Raw genomic sequence first — 20,494 nt, forward strand, 5'->3', positions numbered from 1 at the left:
CTCTTCTGCCGCTAACTCAAATATATATCATCTGGCAAGTCTCTGTCTAACTCATTCTGGGCCTCAGTGGCAGGGCCCCAGAAACCTGAAGACGGGCCCGCTCTGTAAAATGAACTTGAAAGTGCGCCAAAGGCAAACACTTTATAGAAGAAGAGCCAGTGATGGCACAAGACAGGGATGCCCTCTCTCACCGCTCCTATTCAACATAGTGTTGGAAGTTCTGGCCAGGGCAATCAGGCAAGAGAAATAAATAAAGGGTATTCAATTAGGAAAAGAGGAAGTCAAATTGCCCCTGTTTGCAGATGACATGATTGTATATTTAGAAAACCCCATCATCTCAGCCCAAAATCTCCTTAAGCTGATAAGCAACTTCAGCAAAGTCTCAGGATACAAAATCAATGTGCAAAAATCACAAGCATTCCTATACACCAATAACAGACAAACAGAGAGCCAAATCATGAGTGAACTCCCATTCACAATTGCTTCAAAGAGAATAAAATACCTAGGAATCCAACTTACAAGGGATGTGAAGGACCTCTTCAAGGAGAACTACAAACCACTGCTCAATGAAATAAAAGAGGATACAAACAAATGGAAGAACATTCCATGCTCATGGATAGGAAGAATCAATATCCTGAAAATGGCCATACTGCCCAAGGTAATTTATAGATTCAATGCCATCCCCACCAAGCTACCAATGACTTTCTTCGCAGAATTGGAAAAAACTACTTTAAAGTTCATATAGAACCAAAAAAGAGCCCACATTGCCAAGACAATCCTAAGCCAAAAGAACAAAGCTGGAGGCATCATGCTACCTGACTTCAAACCATACTACAAGGCTACAGTAACCAAAACAGCATGGTGCTGGTACCAAAACAGAGATGTAGACCAATGGAACAGAACAGAGGCCTCAAAAATAACACCACACATCTACAACCACCTGATCTTTGACAAATGTGACAAAAACAAGAAATGGGGAAAGGATTCCCTGTGTAATAAATGATGCTGGGAAAACTGGCTAGCCATATGTAGAAAGCTGAAACTGGATCCCTTCCTTACACCTTATACAAAAATTAATTCAAGATGGATTAAAGACTTACATGTTAGACCTAAAACCATAAAAACCCTAGAAGAAAACCTAGGCAATACCATTCAGGACATAGGCATGGGCAAGAACTTCATGACTAAAACACCAAAAGCAATGGCAACAAAAGCCAAAATAGACAAATGGGATCTAATTAAGCTAAAGAGCTTCTGCACAGCAAAAGAAACCACCATCAGAGTGAACAGGCAACCTACAGAAAGGGAGAAAATTTTTGCAATCTACCCATCTGACAAAGGGCTAATATCCAGAATCTACAAAGAATTTAAATTTACAAGAATAAACAAACAACCCCATCAAAAGTGGGCAAAGGATATGAACAGACACTTCTCGAAAGAAGACATTTATGCACCCAACAGACACATGAAAAAATGCTCATCATCACTGGGTCATCAGAGAAATGCAAATCAAAACCACAACGAGATACCATCTCACGGCAGTTAGAATGGCGATCATTAAAAAGTCAGGAAACAACAGGTGCTGGAGAGGATGTGGAGAAATAGGAACGCTTTTACACTGTTGGTGGGAGTGTAAACTAGTTCAGCCATTGTGGAAGATAGTGTGGCAATTCCAAGGATCTAGAACGAGAAATACCATTTGACCCAGCGATTCCATTACTAAGTATATACCCAAAGGATTATAAATCATGCTACTATAAAGACACATGCACACATATGTTTATTGTGGCACTATTCACAATAGCAAAGACTTGGAACCAACCCAAATGTCCATCAATGATAGACTGGATTAAGAAAATGTAGCACATTGCCGGGCGCAATGGCTCACGCCTGTAATCCCAGCACTTTGGGAGGCCGAGGCGGGTGGATCACGAGGTCAGGAGATCGAGACCATCCTGGCTAACATGGTGAAACCCCGTCTCTAATAAAAATACAAAAAATTAGCCAGGCGTGGTGGCAGGCGCCTGTAGTCCCAGCTACTCGGGAGGCTGAGGCAGGAGAATGATGTGAACCCGGGAGGCAGAGCTTGTAGTGAGCCGAGATCCTGCCACTGCACTCCAGCCTGGGGACAGAGTGAGACTCTGTCTCAAAAAAAAAAAAAAAAAAAAAAAGAAAGAAAAGAAAATGTGGCACTTGTACACCATGGAATACTATGCAGCCATAAAAAAGGATGAGTTCATGTCCTTTGCAGGGTCATGGATGAAGCTGGAAACCATCATTCTGAGCAAACTATCACAAGGACAGAAAACCAAACACTGCATGTTCTCACTCATAGGTGGGAATTGAACAATGAGAACACTTGGACACAGGGTGGGGAACATCACACATGGGGGCCTGTTGTGGGGGTGGGGAGCTGGGGGAGGGATAGCATTAGGAGAAATACCTAATGTAAATGACAAGTTAATGGGTGCAACAAACCAACATAGCACATGTATACCTATGTAACAAACCTGCACATTGTGCACATGTACCCTAGAACTTAAAGTATAATAAAAAAAATAAAAAAAGAAAAAGAAAAAGAGCCAGTAATATTAGCACAGACCAACTCCAGTGGCTCTAAGAGTGCTCCAAGGTGGTGGAAACTTCTATATCTGTGCTGCAGTAGCTACGAGCTGGTGTAATGATGTGGCTATTGAACACTTGAAATGTGGCTAGTGCAACCCAACAACTGAATTTGAAACTTCATTAATTTTAGTTAACTTAAATCTAAAAGATGCTCAATATCATTAGGCACTAGGGAAATGTAGATGACACCTACAGTGAGATACCACTTCATACCCACTGGATGGCTATCAAAAAGAGACAATGACAAGTGTCAGTGAAGATATGGAGAAATTGGAACTCTCATATACTGCTGATGGGAATGAGAAATGGAGCAGCCACTTTGGAAAACAGTCTGGCAGTTCCTCAAAATGTTAACTATAAAATTACCATGGGACCCAGTATTGTACTCATAGGCATACATTCAAAAGAAATGAAAACATGCATCCATATAAAGGCATGGACGTGAATTTCATAGCAGCATTATTCATACTAGGCCAAAAGTTGAGATGACCCAAATGCCTATGAAATGAATAGATAAACTAAATGTGGTATATCCATACAATGGAATATCATTCAGCCCTGAAGAGGAATGAAGTAGTGATGCTTGCTACAACATGGAGGAACCTTGAGAACGTTGTGCTAAGTGGAAGAAGCCAGATGCAAAAGGCCACATATTGCATGATTACATTTCTATGAAATGTCTAGAATAGGCAAACTCACAGAGACAGAAAGTAGATTGGTGGTTGCCAGGAGTTGGAGCAAGGGGAGAACAGGGAGTGACTGCTAATGGCCACAGGGCTTCTTATTGGAATGATAAAAATAGTCTGGATTAGATAGTGATGATGGTTGTACAACTGTGCAAATATACTAAAAACAATTGAACTGTACATTTTATTTGTTTTTTTTATTATTATTTTTGAGATGGAGTTTCACTCTTGTTGCCCAGGCTGGAGTGCAATGGTGCGATCTCAGCTCACTGCAACCCCTGCCTCCCAGGTTCAAGCGATTTTCCTGCCTCAGCCTCCCAAGTAGGTAGCTGGGGTTACAGGAGTGCACCACCATGCCAAGCTCATTTTGTATTTTTAGTAGAGATGGGGTTTCATCATGTTGGTCAGGCTGGTCTTGAATTCCTGACCTCAAGTGATCCACCAGCGTCGGCTCCCAAATGAACTGTACATTTTAAAAGGGTGAATTTTGGTATGTGAATTCTCTCTCTCTCTCTCTCTCTCTCTCTCTCTCTCTCTCTCTCTCTCTCTCTCTCTCTCTCCCCATTCTGACTAGTGGCGACAATATTGGACTATGCGCTCTAGAGTCAGACTATCTGGATTTGAATTCTGGCTTTGCCATTTGCTGTTATATGTCCTTGGACAGCTTACTCAACCTCCCCAGGCTTCCGTTTTTCTCAACTGTAAAATGGGGATAATAACTGGGCTCTCTCAAAGAGTTGTCCTGAAGATTAAATGGGCTAATATACATAAAGCTGCTAGAATAGTGCCTGGTACCCAGCCCTGTAGAAGAGTTAGCCAATACTAATCTTACTAGTGTCACAACCAGAAATCCCCCAGGGCCTCCTCCAATTGTCATCCACACCTGGACTCAGCCCCTCCCCACTCCCGTCCCCATTTGCCTGCAGATGGTTCTCTCTGCTGTGTAAACTGTTGCCATAACAACCACTCCCAGCTCCCAGCAGCAGTGACTTCTTTGGAGCAGGGTGTCACATGAAGGGTCTGGGCAGGATCACTAATGGAAAACATTTTCAGTAAACCTTGAGGTTCACTGGGCAGGAAAGTCAAGGCCTGTTGGGGAACAGAGGGCCACGTCTCCAGGCTGAGACAGGCAGGCCACCTTCTGCAGGAGGCCAGCCCTCTGAGCCCAGCCCGGAAGTCCAAGTCTTTAAATGAGAGAAGACAGAATATGTTCGAGAGTCTGCTATCTGATCCTATAACCTATCATTCTGATCCTATAATCTAACATTCACAAGGAAATGGGGCAGGGAGGTGTTTCTCCTGAGGTGGAGAAGTCAGGATAGCAAACTAGCACTCCTTCCAAACAGGGCTCGAGGCCAGGCACCCTCTCCTGGTCCCACAGTCCTCCGCATGGACCACCCTTGACCTTGGCAAGTCCTTTCCTAACGTGATCTTGTTGCTAAATATTAGTGGCTGTGGAGGTATTGCTTTCTCCTGGAACTTTAAGCTCGTCTCCCCGGCCCAAGTTTGCTGCCAAAGGCTGCACTTTTGCACACGGCTGAGCAGGGCTGAGCTGTCCTGTGACAGGCTGTGGCCTGAACTAGCCATCCGCGTGGGGCTGCCCTGTGGTCACTGCCTGCCCTCAGCTCGCTGCAGAGAGAGGCTGCCACTCCCCAGAAAGGGTCAGCCTGGGTGTGGTGGAGGGGGTGGGGTGACTGTCCTCCCAGCTCATCAGGCAGCTCCCAGCCTCAAGAACACTGCGGAGGAGCAGAGGTGAGGCCTCAGAGCACAGATCTGAACCCTGATCTATTTAATATTTCCCCAGGGGACTGGAGCAGAAAGGCCAGCTGGAGCCTCTTGGAAACTTTGGCCCTGAATCAGAGCTTGCCAAGTGGGGCTTGTGGGTCCCCAGAACCTCCCTGGTGCCGAAGGCTGGTTGGTTAATCCCAGAAGCCAGGCCCTGCTCCCTCTCCCCAAGAACCGGGTGGGCTCCCCGTCATAGATACTGCAAACTCAGGCTGTTCTCCCAGCCTGGCCACGAGGCCTAGGGTTGCGGGAAAGATGTCAGCCCTAGGAGTGCAGAGTCCTGGGAGGAAAGGAGCTGTGCTAAGCAGGAGACTGAGGGAGAGAGACCTGGGCGGTGGCTCCCGAGCCTGAGCGAGACGCTGTCCACCTCGCTGCGCTGCAGTCGCAGCAAGGCCACAGCCGGCTGAGGACCGGCAACGCCCCCTTGTGGCCATTCTCAGCAACAAGCCCCCAGAGAGCCTGGCGGGGGCTGGACTGGGGCTGGGTTCTCTTGCTGCAAGGCTGAGGTGGCTAGGTGACTTCTCTTATCCCAAGCCTGGAGATGAAGGAGGCGGCTTTTCCTGAGAACAGACTTGTGCCTGAAGAGTAGATTTGTTCTGAAGGCCAGGGACACTTTGCGTAGCCACTTGGCATCAGGAAGTCAAGCCCTGGTTTTGTAATGGACATCCAATACTGGTGGTATGCAATGAGATGTAAGGATTTTCCAAAATGTGGCCTTATGTAGCACACCCTCCACTGTGGGGGTTTGCAAAGATGAGGCCCCATCTCCATCCTGTTGAATCAGAAGCTCTGGGGGGTGACACCCTGGTATCTGCCTTTTTAGCATACTCTGAGAGAAAAGATGCTTTTATGGGCTTCAGCCAAGTACAAAACCATAGAACCAGACTGTCAAAGCTGGGTAGGGGCTTGGGTATCCTCTACTCCCACTCCCATATTTGTAGATAGGGAAACTGAGGCCCAAAGAGGGGAAGTAATTCACCCTAGCTCCCACAGCTAAGTCATGTGTGCCCCCAAGCTAGAACTCTAAAAATTATTATTTTTTATAGTGATGGGCTCTTGCTGTGTTGCCCAGGCTGGTCTTGAACTCCTGGGCTCGAGGTATCCTCCCATCTCTACCTCCCAAAGTGTTGTGATTACAGGCATAAGCTACTGCCCCTCACCCTCTTTACGTGTTCTAAGTTGTCCACCCGGCATGCCCTGCTTTACGATTCCTCTTAGCCCAGTGCCCAGTGGAGATGCATTACCGAGGGTCCCTAATCCAAGCCATCTCACTCAGTGAAAATCAAAACCGTAGGTGATCTGGAAAGATACCTGCCTGGCAGTTCCAGGCTGAGATGGCCGTGCATGCTCCTCTCTCTGGCCCCAGATTTGCTTCTATTTCCTAGTTTTTCTTTCCTTGCCTCACACACCCATGTGGCCAACACATTAGTCCTTTAGTCCTGGCTCTTTCTGGGTATGTGTCCCCATGCAGCAAACAACAGGAGTGCCATTGAGCGCTGGGCTCCAGTTCAGCCCACTCGCTGATTGAGATGGTTCCGGATTCTCTGGGGTAAGGATGAAAACCCTGGGAGCTCCCCTGGGGAGCAGGAGCACTCAACTACGAGAAGCATGAGATTTGCCATGCTGCGGGGGTTCGGTGACAACTGCCTCTGACAATATTGTGACTTAAGTGGGGGAACGAGGGAAAGATAGGATTAGTAAGAGAACAAATAGTCCCCTGCCTGCATCCTCCATGGAAATGGGGTGCCTCTGGTGTGGGGGCCTGCCAGCATCTGTTTTAGAGCTTCTCGGGTCATCAGATGGCGAAGAAAAGGATAGAGAGAGGGGATGGAGTCACTGTAGGGACAGTTACTGTGCTCTACCTGAAGGCAGAGGGGATTTGCTTGCTGGGTTATCTGTCAGTTTTCCATACCTGCCCCCAGCCACACTGTAGGATGGAGCCTTTGCAGTGAATCAGTGCAAGGTCACTGGATGCAAGAACCAGCAGAACCCTCCTAGTCCAGCTCTGAGCAGTGGGTAGAGACCTGGAGTTTATCGTTAGACCAAGGAGTGCACTGAGGTGGGCCTGCAATGCTCTCCCTGGCTGGAGTTTGAAGGTTTGTGTCCTTGAGTGGAAGAGAGGAATAAAAATGATTCCCAAAGACGTTTGACTCATTGTAAGCACCAGACGATCATCAACAAATGCTGGTTGTGAGATGTGCAGATAAACTCCCACTGACCTGGGCTTCACCCTAGGGATCTAACAGGGTCAGGAAAGATATTTTTCTCTCTCTCTTTTTGGGAGTTATTAAGAAGGGGTGTGTGTGTGTGTGTGTGTGTGTGTCTGTGTGTTGTGTTGCTTATGTTGCTTAATCCTTCTTGTTTCCAGATCATTTAGCCTAGCCTGGATTTGGGACCCAGTCCCAAACCATCCCACATGATTAATTTACATTGCAGTTCACCTCTTCTGGTGATACATCTCTGTGTGTTTCATCCCCAGCCCACAGCATGGAGTGCTGGTCTAAAGATCCCTGGGCCAAGAGTGATAGCTACCATGCCATTCACAACCTGGTGACACTGGGCAGGCCCCTCCCCTCTGGACCTGAGGGATTGTTGTTCCCCCACCACCACCCTGAAACCGCCGTGTACAAAATGAGATCCTTTCAAGTTCTGAAGTGCCATGACTTGAAAACATTCTTTCTTTGGCTCACTTCCGTTCCTTCTGTTGGTTCCCACCTCATCCAGCCACTCACAGCAGAAGCCAGTCTAGAAGTCAGGTGCAAATGCAGTCCTCTGTGGCCTCTGCCCTGAGCCAAACCACTAATGTGGGATTTGAAACACTGGTGGAAATAATTAAGATTTCAACAGTTATTCAGTTTACTTAATTGTCAGCCAATAATTAAAATTTTATAGAACTTGGGGAAATTTGACTGCCGGGTGATGGATTCCCATGAGTCTCCTTCTTCCTGAACGTCTCTGAATTTTGGGGGGTTATTACCCTCGGTTGAAGGCTCTCCACCTATTACTACATCAGATTTTAGACTGCAGGCCAGAGGGGACCCCTGAGGTTCACGATACTCCACAGCTAAGATTGGCCCCAAGAGAACGGGATTGAAGATATTGTATTGCCTCACAGCAGTGAGAGAGTGGTAGTCAGGCCTGATGACACAGAAACAAGGTTTTGTTACTACCTCATCCACCCCTAACTCCAGGTATGAGTGAGGGTCTCACCTAGCCAAAGCAAGGTTCCGGAAGAGAATGTCAGGTCCGTTGAGCTGCACCCTCCAGGGGTGTGCACCACGCCCATCAGCAAATGAGAGACAAGGGGCCAGCCTCAGTGCCAGCCCGAGGGTGCACCCGTTGTTCACCCACCTCTTTGTGCCTTCTGACAGATAAGAGCCACCATTTATAGAGCACCTACTCTGTTCCAGGCACCGTACTATAAGCATGTTTGTGAATTAGCTCTTTAAGCCTCACAGCAACCCCACCAAGTGGGTATCATGCCCATTTCCCAGAGCGGGAAACTGCAGTGAGGTGAGATGACTTGTTCAAACAAGCTGGGAAGGGGGCAGTACCAGGACCTGAAGCACAGGTCTTTCTGAATCTAAGGACTATGTTCTTGCCACTACATCACTGTCAGTTTTGCCCTAGGGTCCCAATCTCTTGATGAGCAATTTCGTAGTCCTGCCCTCCTGGGGAAGCCTGTTTCCCCTGTTCTGACACTGGAACAGAGAGAAAGACCCTTTTTACATCATCCTCACAGTGCACCCTGGGCTGTCCCTTAAATTACTTCTCTTCCTCTAGCAACGTTTTAGTCTTCTTGCTTCCTCCCCATACAATGGGAGATGTGTCCACAGAAATCTCTCTATGCATATGTCTGCAGAATTGCAGAGTTTTATGAGGGTTTCCACAAACTACAGGCTAGACCACAAGTAGGTGTGTATATCTGGAGGCATGTGCATGTATTTTGAAACACCATATTGTAGTGGAAAGAACAAGGGCTTTGGAGTCAAAAAGACTTGTGATCAGTCCCCTGGCTCAAATTAAATAACATGGAAAATGCCTCGTGGTGAACATTGAGTAGCTGGGCATTATTTGATTTGTGTGTGCATGCACCTGTCTGTCAAGTGTATTTGATTGCTAGTCCTTTCCCAAAGACCCTTGACATGGACAGTATGCTCTCTCTGTGGTCTTGCATAAGAGCCAACAGTGTGTAGAAAGAAACACCATCCTACTCTGCAGATGCCCCAGTGCATGCTGGGACTATGCTGCTGTTTGTGGTAACTGTGAATTGCCGTGGTGATGGCTGGGTTGGGAGAGACTTGCATCTGTTCTGAGCCTGAGTAGCACACACATTCTCTCCCCAGTTGCTCCATTTTCAGGGAAAGGCTTGGAGGGCAGCCCAGGATAACATCATGAGCTCCTCCCCATAGACCTTGGTGTCGCCCTGGGGCCTGCTAGGAGCCCTACCTGCCCCCTTCCCCCCTCAAACCCTACTTGCGCGCACACACACACACACACACACACATACACACACTTCACTCTTGCAGCTGGACCCTGTTCTGTAGGAGCTAAGACAGCACGCACTCCCAGGCCCCCAGAGTAAGTTTTGGAGGGTGGCATCCTGGCTGGTATCATGTGAAGGAGAACGCTGTACTCTACTAGGACCTGGCTAGAGGTGGGTTGGACTGGAGAGTACCTTGTTCTAATTTGCACAAAGGTGCCACGTAAGATGGGAGTATTCTGAGCACGTCCTCCACTTAGGGGTATTGAGGAAGGGGATGGGCTACCAAGACTCCCTCTGCATCTTTGCCATGTCTGGGCTCTGTTTTGTCCCCAGGCCTGTCCCACACCCAGAGCAAAACATTTGACAGAGACACATGGAGGCAGCCTCCAGGGCATCTCAACTTAGCCAATAAAACAAGCCATTAGCCAGGCACGATGGCACACACCTGTAATCCCAGCACTTTGGGGGGCTGAGTCAGAAGGATAGCTTGAGCTCAGAAGTTCGAGACCAGCTTGGGCAACATGGCAAAACCCCGTCTCTACTAAAAATGCAAAAATTAGCCAGGCGTGATGGGGCATGCCTGTAGTCCCAGCTACTCAGGAGGCTAAGGTGGGAGAATCGCTCAAAACCAGGGAAGTTGAGCCTGCAGTGAGGCGTGATCATGCCACTCCATCCCAGGAGACAGAGTAAGACCCTGTCTCCAAAAAAAAAAAAAAAACCATTGAACTTTTAGGTTACTTTTCTCATTATCACAGAGTAGCGGAAGCCCTAGATACCTTCACCCCATCCGGGATGCTCACCCTCACAGGAGATGGTGAGAAAGGGGTGAAGCTTAGTTATGGGTTGGTGGTCAGAGGTGGGGTAAGGTGAAGATCAGGAATGGATGAGGGTTGAGAGGTGAAGTAAATTCCCTTGGAAATGTAACTTACTCATATTTTTAAGCTAAAATATAAAAATTCACCTTCAGGGTCATGGGTGTGAATGTCAGATTGGCTCCTCAACCTAGGCCCCCTCTGCAGCCTCTGGAGCTCTGGAGGCCTTTCTTTTGTACACAGGTAAGTCCTCTTGGCCTGAAGCTGTGGCTGTACCACCCCGGGAATGTGTCTGTCACCTAGCAATGTGGAGGAAGCCAGACTTACCAGGGGCCCCAACCCTCCAGACCCACCCTGGGCTGAGCCTTGGAGAAGCAGAGCGGCATACCCATGATGGCCACCAGGGGCCACTGCTGGGGCACAGAGGGAGCTGCAGGGTGTAGCCTCTGCAGGGCCCCTCCAGCCTGGTAGCAGAGACCAGATCCTGGTCACCCCCAAGGAAACCAAACCCTGCCCTAACCTCCTCCCCTGTATGCCCCAAATCTATACCTGTGGGGAAGCTGCCTGGAGTCAAGTGTTCTTCCATTCGCATCTCTGTGATCTCCAGCTAGTCCCTACTTCCTGGACCTCAGCCTCCCAGCTCTCCAGAGACACAGCAGGATTAAGTGACTTTCAAGGACTCTTGTGGTTTGGCGACTCTGGGAGACTCTGAAATAGTCCCACCACACTCTGCTGATGTGGAATTGAGGAAGGGGCTAGGATAGAGGTCTTTGAGGGAAGAGATATGGAGAAAGAGGGTCAAACCTGTGACCTAGATGTCTATGACTCCCATCTGGAGCATCTGGGGCATTAGGGAATGCAGCATGACTCTCCTGAGGCTACTGTGTGGTTTAAACATTTTTCCTTAAAAAAAAAAAAAAAAGACATTTTCCTAACGTGACATGTATGTATCCCTTTACTTTTTTTCATGGGTTTTTGGAAATTTTAAAAAATTGTGGTAGCATCCATTCTTGAAATGTTCACTAAGCATCTTCTTTGTTTTTTTTTTTGAAACAGGGTCTCACTCTGTTGCCCAGGCTAGAGTATAGTGGTGTGATCATAGTTCATTACAGCATTGAACTCTTGGGCTCAAGTGATCTTCCTGCCTCAGCCTCCCAAGTAGCTAGTATTACAGGCTTGAGCCACCTGGCCAATTTTTTTATTTTTATTTTTTATATAGACAGGATCTCCCTGTGTTGCCCAGGCTGGTCTCAAACTCCTGGCCTGAAGCGATCCTCTGGCCTCGGTCTCCCACAGTGCTGGGATTATAGGCATGAGCCACTGCTTGCAGCCTAAGCGCCTCCTATACAACAGTCACCATGCTTGATGCTAGTGGTGCAGAGATGCCCTGTGATATATCAAGACAAGTATGAGTTTCTTCCTGGGCTCAACTCTGCCTTGTGCTACATGCTAGGTGTGTGACCTTGGGCAGTTTACTTGTTCTCTCTGAGTGTCAGTTTTCTCATCTGTTAAATGGGGCAGTAGCACAAATCTCCCAGAAATGTTGCAAGGATTCAAGTAGATAATGCATGCAAAGGGTCTGGCACACACAGAAGTCTCTGAGTAACTCTTGATCACCTTCCTCTTTGGGAATACACACCCCTTGGAGATGTGTGTGCCTGTCCCTCATGTCTGCCAAGCCCATAAAAAGCATCACCCTGGGCCAGAAACCCACACCTTGGCACCATGTTCTTAGTCCCCACATAGGCATTTTAGAATTCAACTTTATTTCTTGGCGAGTCTAAAAAATTGACCCTGTCTGTGTTTCATGCCAAGCCATCAATTAAAGCCATGGAGCAGCTTACAAGGTGACACTTGCCAGGATAAATAGGCATTGGCGGCCACGGAAGTGATGCCAGGACTGGGGATAGAGCTTAGGCCACTGGCATGGTGGCCTGCCATTTGTCCCTGATCCTTGCCACCAGCATGGAGGCCTGGATTCATGGTGCTGACCATGAGAGGATGTGGGGGTGGAGAAGCTCCCCCTGGGAGGGGAAAGGAGGGATGGCTGGGCTTGGGTGTGGAGCTGGTTCTCAGAAAAGGTGCCCAAAAGGCTCTGGAGAGGGCATTGCAGGCTCCCTGCCCGCCCCACCCAGCCTCCCCTCCCTGACAAGACAGTCAAGCAGCTGCCTGCCAGCCGGCCTGAGCTTAGTCTTGGGGGAATAAAAACCTCTTGAAGAGATTCAGAAATGTTCCCTTTGGCAGCTAAAAAAAACCTTACACTCCTGCTGAGTCTGTGGGCTGAGGAGGGACTGAGGGGGCGTTTGGCCTCTGCAGCAGCGGCAGAAGGCTTGCGGATGGAGGGGAAAAGGGAGCAGCCTGGAGAGCCAGAGTTCTTGGGTTTTCTCTGTTGTTTTGCCATCATCTTTCTGTCACTCCCTGACTCTCTCCTGCAGATTGTCTTTTAGGGAGGTACTGGGGGACTTGGTTCCATTCATGACTTTAGGTTCCAAAATGAAAGATAAGCCATGGGGCAGGGCCAGCTTCTCTTCATTATACTGTCCTTAGGGCCCAGGGTGGTGCCTGATGTGAAGTAAGTGCTTGATAAAGATTCATTGGATGAACTGAAGGAAGGAAGAACATTCTTTGAGTTCCTTCATGCTCAAGCACCTCTCAGTCATTTGGACGTTATTTTCACCCTGTTTGCTGTTGTAGATTCTCATCCGTCCAGGCTAATATCTGGACACCAGGGTTGAATACAATGGCTCTTGGTGATTTGGGATTCTGAGGATTGGGCCACACCCATGCATCCTTCTCACTCAGGATTGCACCACTTGTGTGGGGACTGCCCAGAGCTCACTTCAAGCTCCAGAAAATGACTGCTCATCCCTTCCACCTCCCACCAGCCACCTCACCTTTAGGAGACTATATCTGAACTAACTTCCTGGGACCCCATAGAGCAACCCCAGATATTACCAGTCAGTGCCTGGGTTTAGGTGTACTGAAGCCAGCTTGTACCAGTTCCCCAGAGCCAATTGTTAGCCCCTCTTCCTAACTCTGTGGTCAGTGACATCAGATTGGTAGATTGAAAGTGGCCATGATAGGAGGCTTTATACCAGGGAAATTGGCAAACACCACACATCGGTGTCCCCTTCCTCCGAAAGCCAGTTGTTAAACATTTACCAGCACAACCCTGGATAGGGGGTTTCAGGCAGATGTTCCAGCTCATCTCAACCACGAGAAATCTTGCCCAGGACCTCTGCTATGAGAAGCAGGGCCTCCCCAAAACAAAGCCAGAGGTAGAGGCAGTTCCTTGGGGGCTCTGAAAGGAGTGCACAGACACAGAAAGCCATGCCTGTACCCCCTGCCAGGATCTGGGGTTCAGAGGGCTCAATGGCACATGTCCAGGGCCTTTGAGAGGGCCCATTCTGTTGGTTGTCTTTGGGAAAGGGAGGAGGAAGGTGACTATCATGGCCCAGGGACTAGCCTCCTGGGGACACTGTCAATCTCCACTTCCTGACCCCCAGGATCCCAGCATTAAGTTCTCTTCACTCACCCAGCTCTTCCTTCTCTCCCTACCAGACCCAGAGTCCCAGAGAAAGAGGACAGTGCAGAATGTCCTGGATCTCCGGCAGAACCTGGAAGAGACCATGTCCAGCCTGCGAGGGTCCCAGGTGACTCACAGGTAAGCTCGAGCTGCAGAGAGGGTCATGCCCTCTGCCTTCCTGGCTCTCCACCCCATTCTGGAGGGCAGGGCCCCCGGGTCCCTCCACACCTCTGCCAGGTCAGCCAGGTGGCCTGATGCGTGGAGCCACTGCAGAAGGAGGAGGAAATCCATTTATCTCAACAAGAGAAGCTTGGCTTTGTCTTCTGTCTGCTTGTGCCTGAACATTTCATTTCATTTCAGCAAATCAGCTTGAAAATCACTAGCTTAGGAGCCAGGAAGTGGAAGCCATTACACAGCTCAATGTGTGATCTTTGATAGTCAGTCTCCTTCATTAGACCTCTGTCTCCTCAATCTGTCAAGAGAAGGTTTACTAAATGCTCTCTTCCTGTTCCTAAGTCTCCATTAAACTAGGGGTCTAGAATCAATTCCCTTCTCAACACCTGGGTCTTTTCACTCTTGTGTCAGTTAGGTGCCCCCTGGCCTCTTCTACGAGCCACTGAGGGAGGCTTGAGTGCTCAACAGGGCCCACACAGTGTCACCCAGCTCCATGCCCTGTTAGGTGTGTCCCCCTAGCCCACTCCCTGCAGAGACCTCATAGCCTCCAGCTGCATGGGGCACTCAGCCTTCCCACGGCACCTCTCTCTGGAGCAAAGTCCTGGCCACAGGCTCTGCTGTGACTCAGAATTTCCCTTGCTGGCTCCTTGGACTGCCCAGATGAGCTCATGCTGTCAGCTCCAAGTGGGGCAGAGGGCTGGGCTAAGCTCTGGGGACAGCGGGAGGCAGAACAGACAGCCAGATTGGGAAATCATGGGGGGTGTGGGGCAGGAAGGCTGTGTGAGGGCTAGGAAGCCTCCCCAGTTAGACTGGAAGTAGATTCCTCTCCAACTCCTGGGGCTGGAAAATTAAGAGCAAAGTTGGGACACAGGGGCAGTGGAAAAGGACTTTCTTTAGCCCAGGGTGTGGCCATTTGGGATTCTGAGGATGGGACCACACCCATGGACATATTTACATACCACCAATGACAAAGAACTCATTACCTTTCTTTTTTTATTTTTAACATAGGCTTTTTAAAAATATTTTGTTATTATTTTTAAAGACCGAGTCTCATTCTGTCGCCCACTGCCTCAGCCTCCCGAGTAGCTGGGATTACAGCTGTGTGCCATCACGCCCAGCTAATTTTTGTATTTTTAGTAGAGATGGGGTTTCACCATGTTGGCCAGGCCAGTCTCAAACTCCTGGCCTCAAGTGATCCACACGCCTTGGCCTCCCAAAGTGCTGGGATTACAGGCGTGAGCCACCGCGCCCGGCCAACTCACTACCTTTCAGTCACCCCGGTGCATTGTGGGATTGCAGCAACTCTGATGTGGAACTGCACTTAGTCTTAAGTAGCTTTCAGCCGTTGGCTGTAGTTCTTCCTGCTTAGATGACCCTTCTCCTTCTCCTTCCTTGTACTACTCCTCCCCCTATCCCCAGCCCATGCCCGCATCTTGGACACTCAGCCCTTTACTCCCAGACATCTCGAGTATTTTAAATGGTAAGATAAATCAAAACTCTCTGGGGATTACCTCTGCTCAGGCCAGCAGAACCCTGACTACTGAAAGGGAGGTGACCAAGGAAGTCCTGGAAAAAGGTGGATGGTGGGGGCTCCAGGACCCCCTTACATCTGTCCCTTACTGCCATCCCTCATAGCCCCAAGCCCCCAGCAGGAGCCCAAGTGAAGCAGGGATCTGGCAGAGCTTGGCTTATCAGTTTAGGACCCAGCGGATGAAATCTTGGACATCTGCCTTCCCCCATCCAAGGAAATTGTTGGAACATCTCTCAGCACCAAGTCACCCACCAGCCTCATGCCAAAGACACCAGAAAGTGCTTAGTTGCTGAGAGGGCCACACCCCAAATGACTCACTCACAGGAGTAGGAGAGAAGTAGCAGCTCCAGCCTCCTGGTGCCACTGACTCAGAGCAGCCAGCCCCCAGTCCCTCCGTTAAGCCGGACAGCTTGACCCTAGGCAGGCGCTATTGGTTTTCTGCTTCTAGTGGGAAAGGGGAGGCTTCAATCAAGCCTTTTGCATAATGCTGACTGGTTTAGGGGGAGCGTCTAGGGCCTCTGGCTTCTGCCTCCCTTTATAGGAAAGGAACCAAGAGCCCCGGAGCTGGTTTTTCTGTTTACTGTGGACCTAGAGCCACTTCCTCTCATAGGCTTTGGTTTATATTATTCCTGTTCCACACTGGTAGCCAAAACAATGATTCCCTGACTTTTTATGGCTCTTTTTTTTTTTTTTTTGAGACAGAGTCTCACTGTCTCCCAGGCTGGAGTGCCTTGGCATGATCTCAGCTCACTGCAACCTCTGTCTCCCAGGTCAAGCGATTCTTCTGCCTCAGCCTCTGAAGTAGCTGGGACTACAGGTGCGTGCCACCACACCGGCTAATTTTTGTATTTTTAGTAGAGATGGGGTTTCACCATGTTGGCCAGGCTGGTCTAGAACTCCTGACCTCAGGTAATCCACCCACTTCGGCCACCCAAAGTGCTGGGATTACAGGTGTGAGCCACCACGCCCTGCCGGCTCTTTTACTTTTTAAAGGGCTTTCTATCAATGAGCCCTTCCCTTAGCCCTGGAAGTAGACAGGATATATACATACTCCCTGGGTTAGAGAATGAGGCTGGGGGCAGGGAGGCACCTGCCAGAGTCACGCTGGCTGATGAGGGTAGGTTCTGTACTCTGCATGCTCAGAACCCATGCCAGCTGTGTGCCAGGCACAGCGCTGGGCACTGGCTCCCCAGAACACACACAAGCTTCATCCTCGGAGCTTATGGTCCAGTGTGTGCTTCCTGCAAGGCTGTTTTCACCCAGGAACTCCCAGGATAACTGGATTCCATTCCTTTTCAGAAGCCTTTACTCCTGTGCTGCTTCCTCAATTTCTACTGGTTCATTTCCCCCAGCGAGGAGAGTCTGGGTCAGACTGTGGCTGGAGAGGAAATGAAACTGTGTCCTCCCCAGAGAAAGGCAAGCCTGAAGGGTGGGTGCAGGGCTGGAATTCAAGAACTGAGGATCTGAGCTAGAATCCCCCTCACCAAGCTTAAGTCTAGAGATGTCTAGAGATGTGTTTGGGGGAACTGAAAAAAAAAGAGAGAGCTGTGGAATAGGGGAAGAGGCAATTTTAGTACAAATAACTAAACAGGGGCAGGCCAGGAATAGAATTGAGGAACCCAGATGCTGAGTGCAGCCCTCACTCCCACACTAGTATATAACCATGGTGTAGGCTAACTACCCAAACCAGCTTCCCTGGAGATCCCCGCCACCCTCTTAGTATGGTTAGCATCATCCTCTTCCTCCCCTGTCTCATCCCATGGTCAAGGTCAGCTTGCTTTTATCAAGCACTTACTGCACAGGGCGCTGGACTGAGTTTTCTGATGAGAACTTCCTTGCTTTTTACTCACACATCCATCGTGGGTTTGCTCCTCTTTGATTCATTCTAGAGCACCAGCTCTAGGCCAGGTGCCATGCAAAGTGCTGAAATACCGTGGTGAGTGAGCAAGGCAGACAAAGTCGCACCATCACTACAGTCTCTGGCTTCGGGGCACATCGGTTTCTGTCCAAGGAGATGTGATGTCTAGGTCCACAGTAATTAGAAGCCGAAACAAGACACTGTATGAGGCAGAGCTGCAGAACACAAAGGGGTTCCTAAAGGGCTGCCAGAAGCAGGGTGCAGTGGCTCACGCCAGTAACCCCAGCACTGTGGGAGGCCGAGGTGGGAGGATTGCTTGAGTTCAGGAGTTCAAGACCAGCCTGGACAACATGGCAAAACCCCATCTCTATAAAAAATACAAAAATTAGCCAGATGTGCTCATGTGTGCCTGTCGTCCCTGCTACTTTGGGGCTGAGGCAGGAGGGTCACTTGAGCTCGGGAGGTCAAGGCTGCAGTGAGCCGTGTTTGCACCACTACACTCCAGCCTAGGCAACAGAGTGAGACCCTGTCTCAAAAATAAGTAAATAAGTAAAAAGAGTTGGCAGGGCCAGGAGGGGAGCCGCTGGGCATGGACACGGTCAGGAAGCCCTCCAGAGGGCCAGAAGCAGCTGCCACTGATTGCCCTGACTGGCCAGGGCCTCCCCCATCTTGCCCACAGGACTACTGCCAGGACCCCAGCACACTCAGTTTCAAGAGCGTTTGGATCCCTCAAGTTCTGCTGGTTAGAAAATAAGACCGTATTTTCTCAGGTCCAATAGAGACAACTTTGGAAATTTTTCTTCTTTTCAAGGAACTTGATAGAAACCAGAATGGAAAAATCAATGTCCCACTCCCATTCCAGCCCCCAAAGTGGCTAAGCAATGGATGTGTTCACAGAGCAGTGATTGCTTGGGCTCATGTAACTCATGTCCAGCCACAGATTGCCTCAGTTGCCCCAGCTTTCTTGGCCACCAAACCCCGTTTCGCTTACTTAGTCCTGTCTGGCTTAATTAGGATAAGTTATGGAGACCCTGCCTGAGGCTGATTTGGGCTGGCCCCACTGCTAGGCTAGATGGAATTATGGGTCTCAGCCTGAACCCAAGTCCAAGCCACCCCTTCAACCAGATTCCAGTTGTATTTCCTCTCTGCAGCCCGCCTGGCCCTATCTCCTTCCCTAGTCCCCCAGGTTCCCCTAGTCTCAGGCCATCCAGCACTCACCTGGGCATTGCTCCCTTGGCCTGGTCTAGCAGGGCCTGAGGCTTGAGACTCTGGACATTTGGCTTCACCCCCATGTCTGGTTCCCTGTGTCCTCTCCTTTGTCCAGTTAAGGCTGCTTCTATTCTCTGGGGAGGCTTATTTCCCCTGCTGCCCTAGGCCTGTGGCTTGGACCAGTCTTACTGGGGACCTGCCATACATCCCAGATTCCCAAAGCTTTTCCTATACTCTCTGCACTCTACTTCAGCTTTCCTATATATGATGTTTGGGAATCAGCTAGCCCTCAGCTAATTACTAGAAGAGAGGTGATGGACACACCATTAACAAAATGACCAAGGCCTTCTAAGCTCAAGTGACCAGTCTCTCCCACTTGCCTCCAGGTCTGTTGACCCCTTCCATATACCAGGCACTGTGTTCTGTCTGTACATATGTGATCCTTACAACTCTATAAGGTAGATGTTATGCCATTATCCCCATTGTACAGATGGGGAAACTGAAGCTTTAGTTATTTACTTTCCTTGGGCTCCTTTACTAACCAATACCAAAAAAGAATTCAAACCTAGGTCATATTACACAATCTAGGGTCTTAACAGTATACAGGATTTCTTCCCTAGCCACTTAATTAAGATCATTTCCTTTGTCAAACAGATAACGTATCACAAAGGTAACACACAACCAGAGGCCTCATGGAGGAGGTGGAGCTTGGGCAGGTGGGGAGGAGGTGACAGGGCCTGTGGGTGGAGGGGAGGCATTGCTGGGGTGCATGTGAGGGGACAGGGCACACGGCGGCTGTGCCAAGGACTAAGTAGTGCCTTCTGCTCTCCACCCAGCTCCCTGGAGATGACCTGCTACGACAGCGATGATGCCAACCCACGCAGCGTGTCCAGCCTCTCCAACCGCTCGTCCCCTCTGTCATGGCGCTATGGCCAGTCCAGTCCGCGGCTGCAGGCTGGTGACGCGCCCTCTGTGGGTGGGAGCTGCCGCTCGGAGGGGACGCCCGCCTGGTACATGCACGGCGAACGGGCCCACTACTCCCACACCATGCCCATGCGCAGCCCCAGCAAGCTCAGCCATATCTCCCGCCTGGAGCTGGTCGAATCCCTGGACTCGGATGAGGTGGACCTCAAGTCCGGCTACATGAGCGACAGTGACCTCATGGGCAAGACCATGACGGAGGATGATGACATCACTACCGGGTAAGCGCAGGGGCTTCTTGGATGGCGGGGGAGGATGGTGGAAAGACCACTGGGATGCGACGCCTTAAAAGTGGAGTGGAACCCAAAACGGGTTTTGGTTTGCTGTGCTGCTATGAAAGTACACAAAAGTGTGCTGTGTACACTTTGTGATTGCCTCTGAAATTCGATGTGGTTTATTCTAGACTTGGGTGTGGTGTAGGCAGGGCCTACATCCAAGGAGCTGATTGGTCAATGAAGGCGCCTCCCTCTCATTGGTCTCTGTGGCTGTCATTCTGTCACCCTCCTCCCTGGCTCTTTGCCCTCAATAAACTGGCTCAAAGAGCCTTGGAAAAGCATTTTATTCCCAGCTCTTATGCGAACTCTGTGTAGACCCTGGACAACTAAATCTGCTTTCCCATTTGCAAAAAAAAAAAAAACCAAAAAGGTTATTAACATCGTATCTGTCTACCTAAGAAGAGAAAATGAGAGCTTGTGGGTGAAATCGCTAGTCAAACAGTGAGTAGCAGCAGTAGCTCCACTTCCTTTGCCAGGGGTTCGTAACCCCTCAGTTCCCTATCCGACCCCTGTGGTCCTCAGTGTCTGCTCCTTGGGTTTCTTCCT

General features: G+C 49.5%; 1 protein-coding gene and 1 long non-coding RNA gene across 5 annotated transcripts in view, besides 4 other annotated features; one reads left to right on the plus strand and one right to left on the minus strand.

Annotated features, from left to right (window-relative positions):
• Window positions 1-20,494, plus strand: part of NAV1 (neuron navigator 1) — a 287,843-nt gene that overhangs the window by 159,735 nt on the left and 107,614 nt on the right. For all 4 annotated transcript variants that reach the window (NM_001389617.1, NM_001389615.1, NM_001389616.1 and 1 more), the window contains 2 exons: window positions 13,956-14,058; window positions 19,529-19,894. In NM_001389617.1, the coding sequence (NP_001376546.1) occupies window positions 13,956-14,058; window positions 19,529-19,894 (469 nt within the window). The remainder of the gene's footprint in view (window positions 1-13,955; window positions 14,059-19,528; window positions 19,895-20,494) is intronic.
• Window positions 1-20,494, minus strand: part of IPO9-AS1 (IPO9 antisense RNA 1) — a 141,304-nt gene that overhangs the window by 10,606 nt on the left and 110,204 nt on the right. The window lies entirely within an intron of this gene.
• Window positions 4,501-5,073: an enhancer, noted in NCBI's record as "H3K4me1 hESC enhancer chr1:201672490-201673062 (GRCh37/hg19 assembly coordinates)". NCBI's record gives its function as "activates a minimal SCP1, AML or CMV promoter by ChIP-STARR-seq in primed H9 embryonic stem cells {active_cell/tissue: H9 hESC(primed)}" and the evidence as "EXISTENCE:reporter gene assay evidence [ECO:0000049][PMID:30033119]".
• Window positions 14,068-14,756: an enhancer, noted in NCBI's record as "H3K27ac-H3K4me1 hESC enhancer chr1:201682057-201682745 (GRCh37/hg19 assembly coordinates)". NCBI's record gives its function as "activates a minimal SCP1, AML or CMV promoter by ChIP-STARR-seq in primed H9 embryonic stem cells {active_cell/tissue: H9 hESC(primed)}" and the evidence as "EXISTENCE:reporter gene assay evidence [ECO:0000049][PMID:30033119]".
• Window positions 14,068-14,894: a biological region, named in NCBI's record as "Sharpr-MPRA regulatory region 1273".
• Window positions 14,600-14,894: an enhancer, noted in NCBI's record as "tiled region #1273; HepG2 Activating non-DNase unmatched - State 10:DNaseD". NCBI's record gives its function as "activates a minimal TATA promoter and a strong SV40 promoter by Sharpr-MPRA in HepG2 cells {active_cell/tissue: HepG2}" and the evidence as "EXISTENCE:reporter gene assay evidence [ECO:0000049][PMID:27701403]".

The sequence above is a fragment of the Homo sapiens genome, chromosome 1 (assembly GCF_000001405.40).
Source record: "Homo sapiens chromosome 1, GRCh38.p14 Primary Assembly".
Classification (NCBI taxonomy): Eukaryota; Metazoa; Chordata; class Mammalia; order Primates; family Hominidae; genus Homo; species Homo sapiens.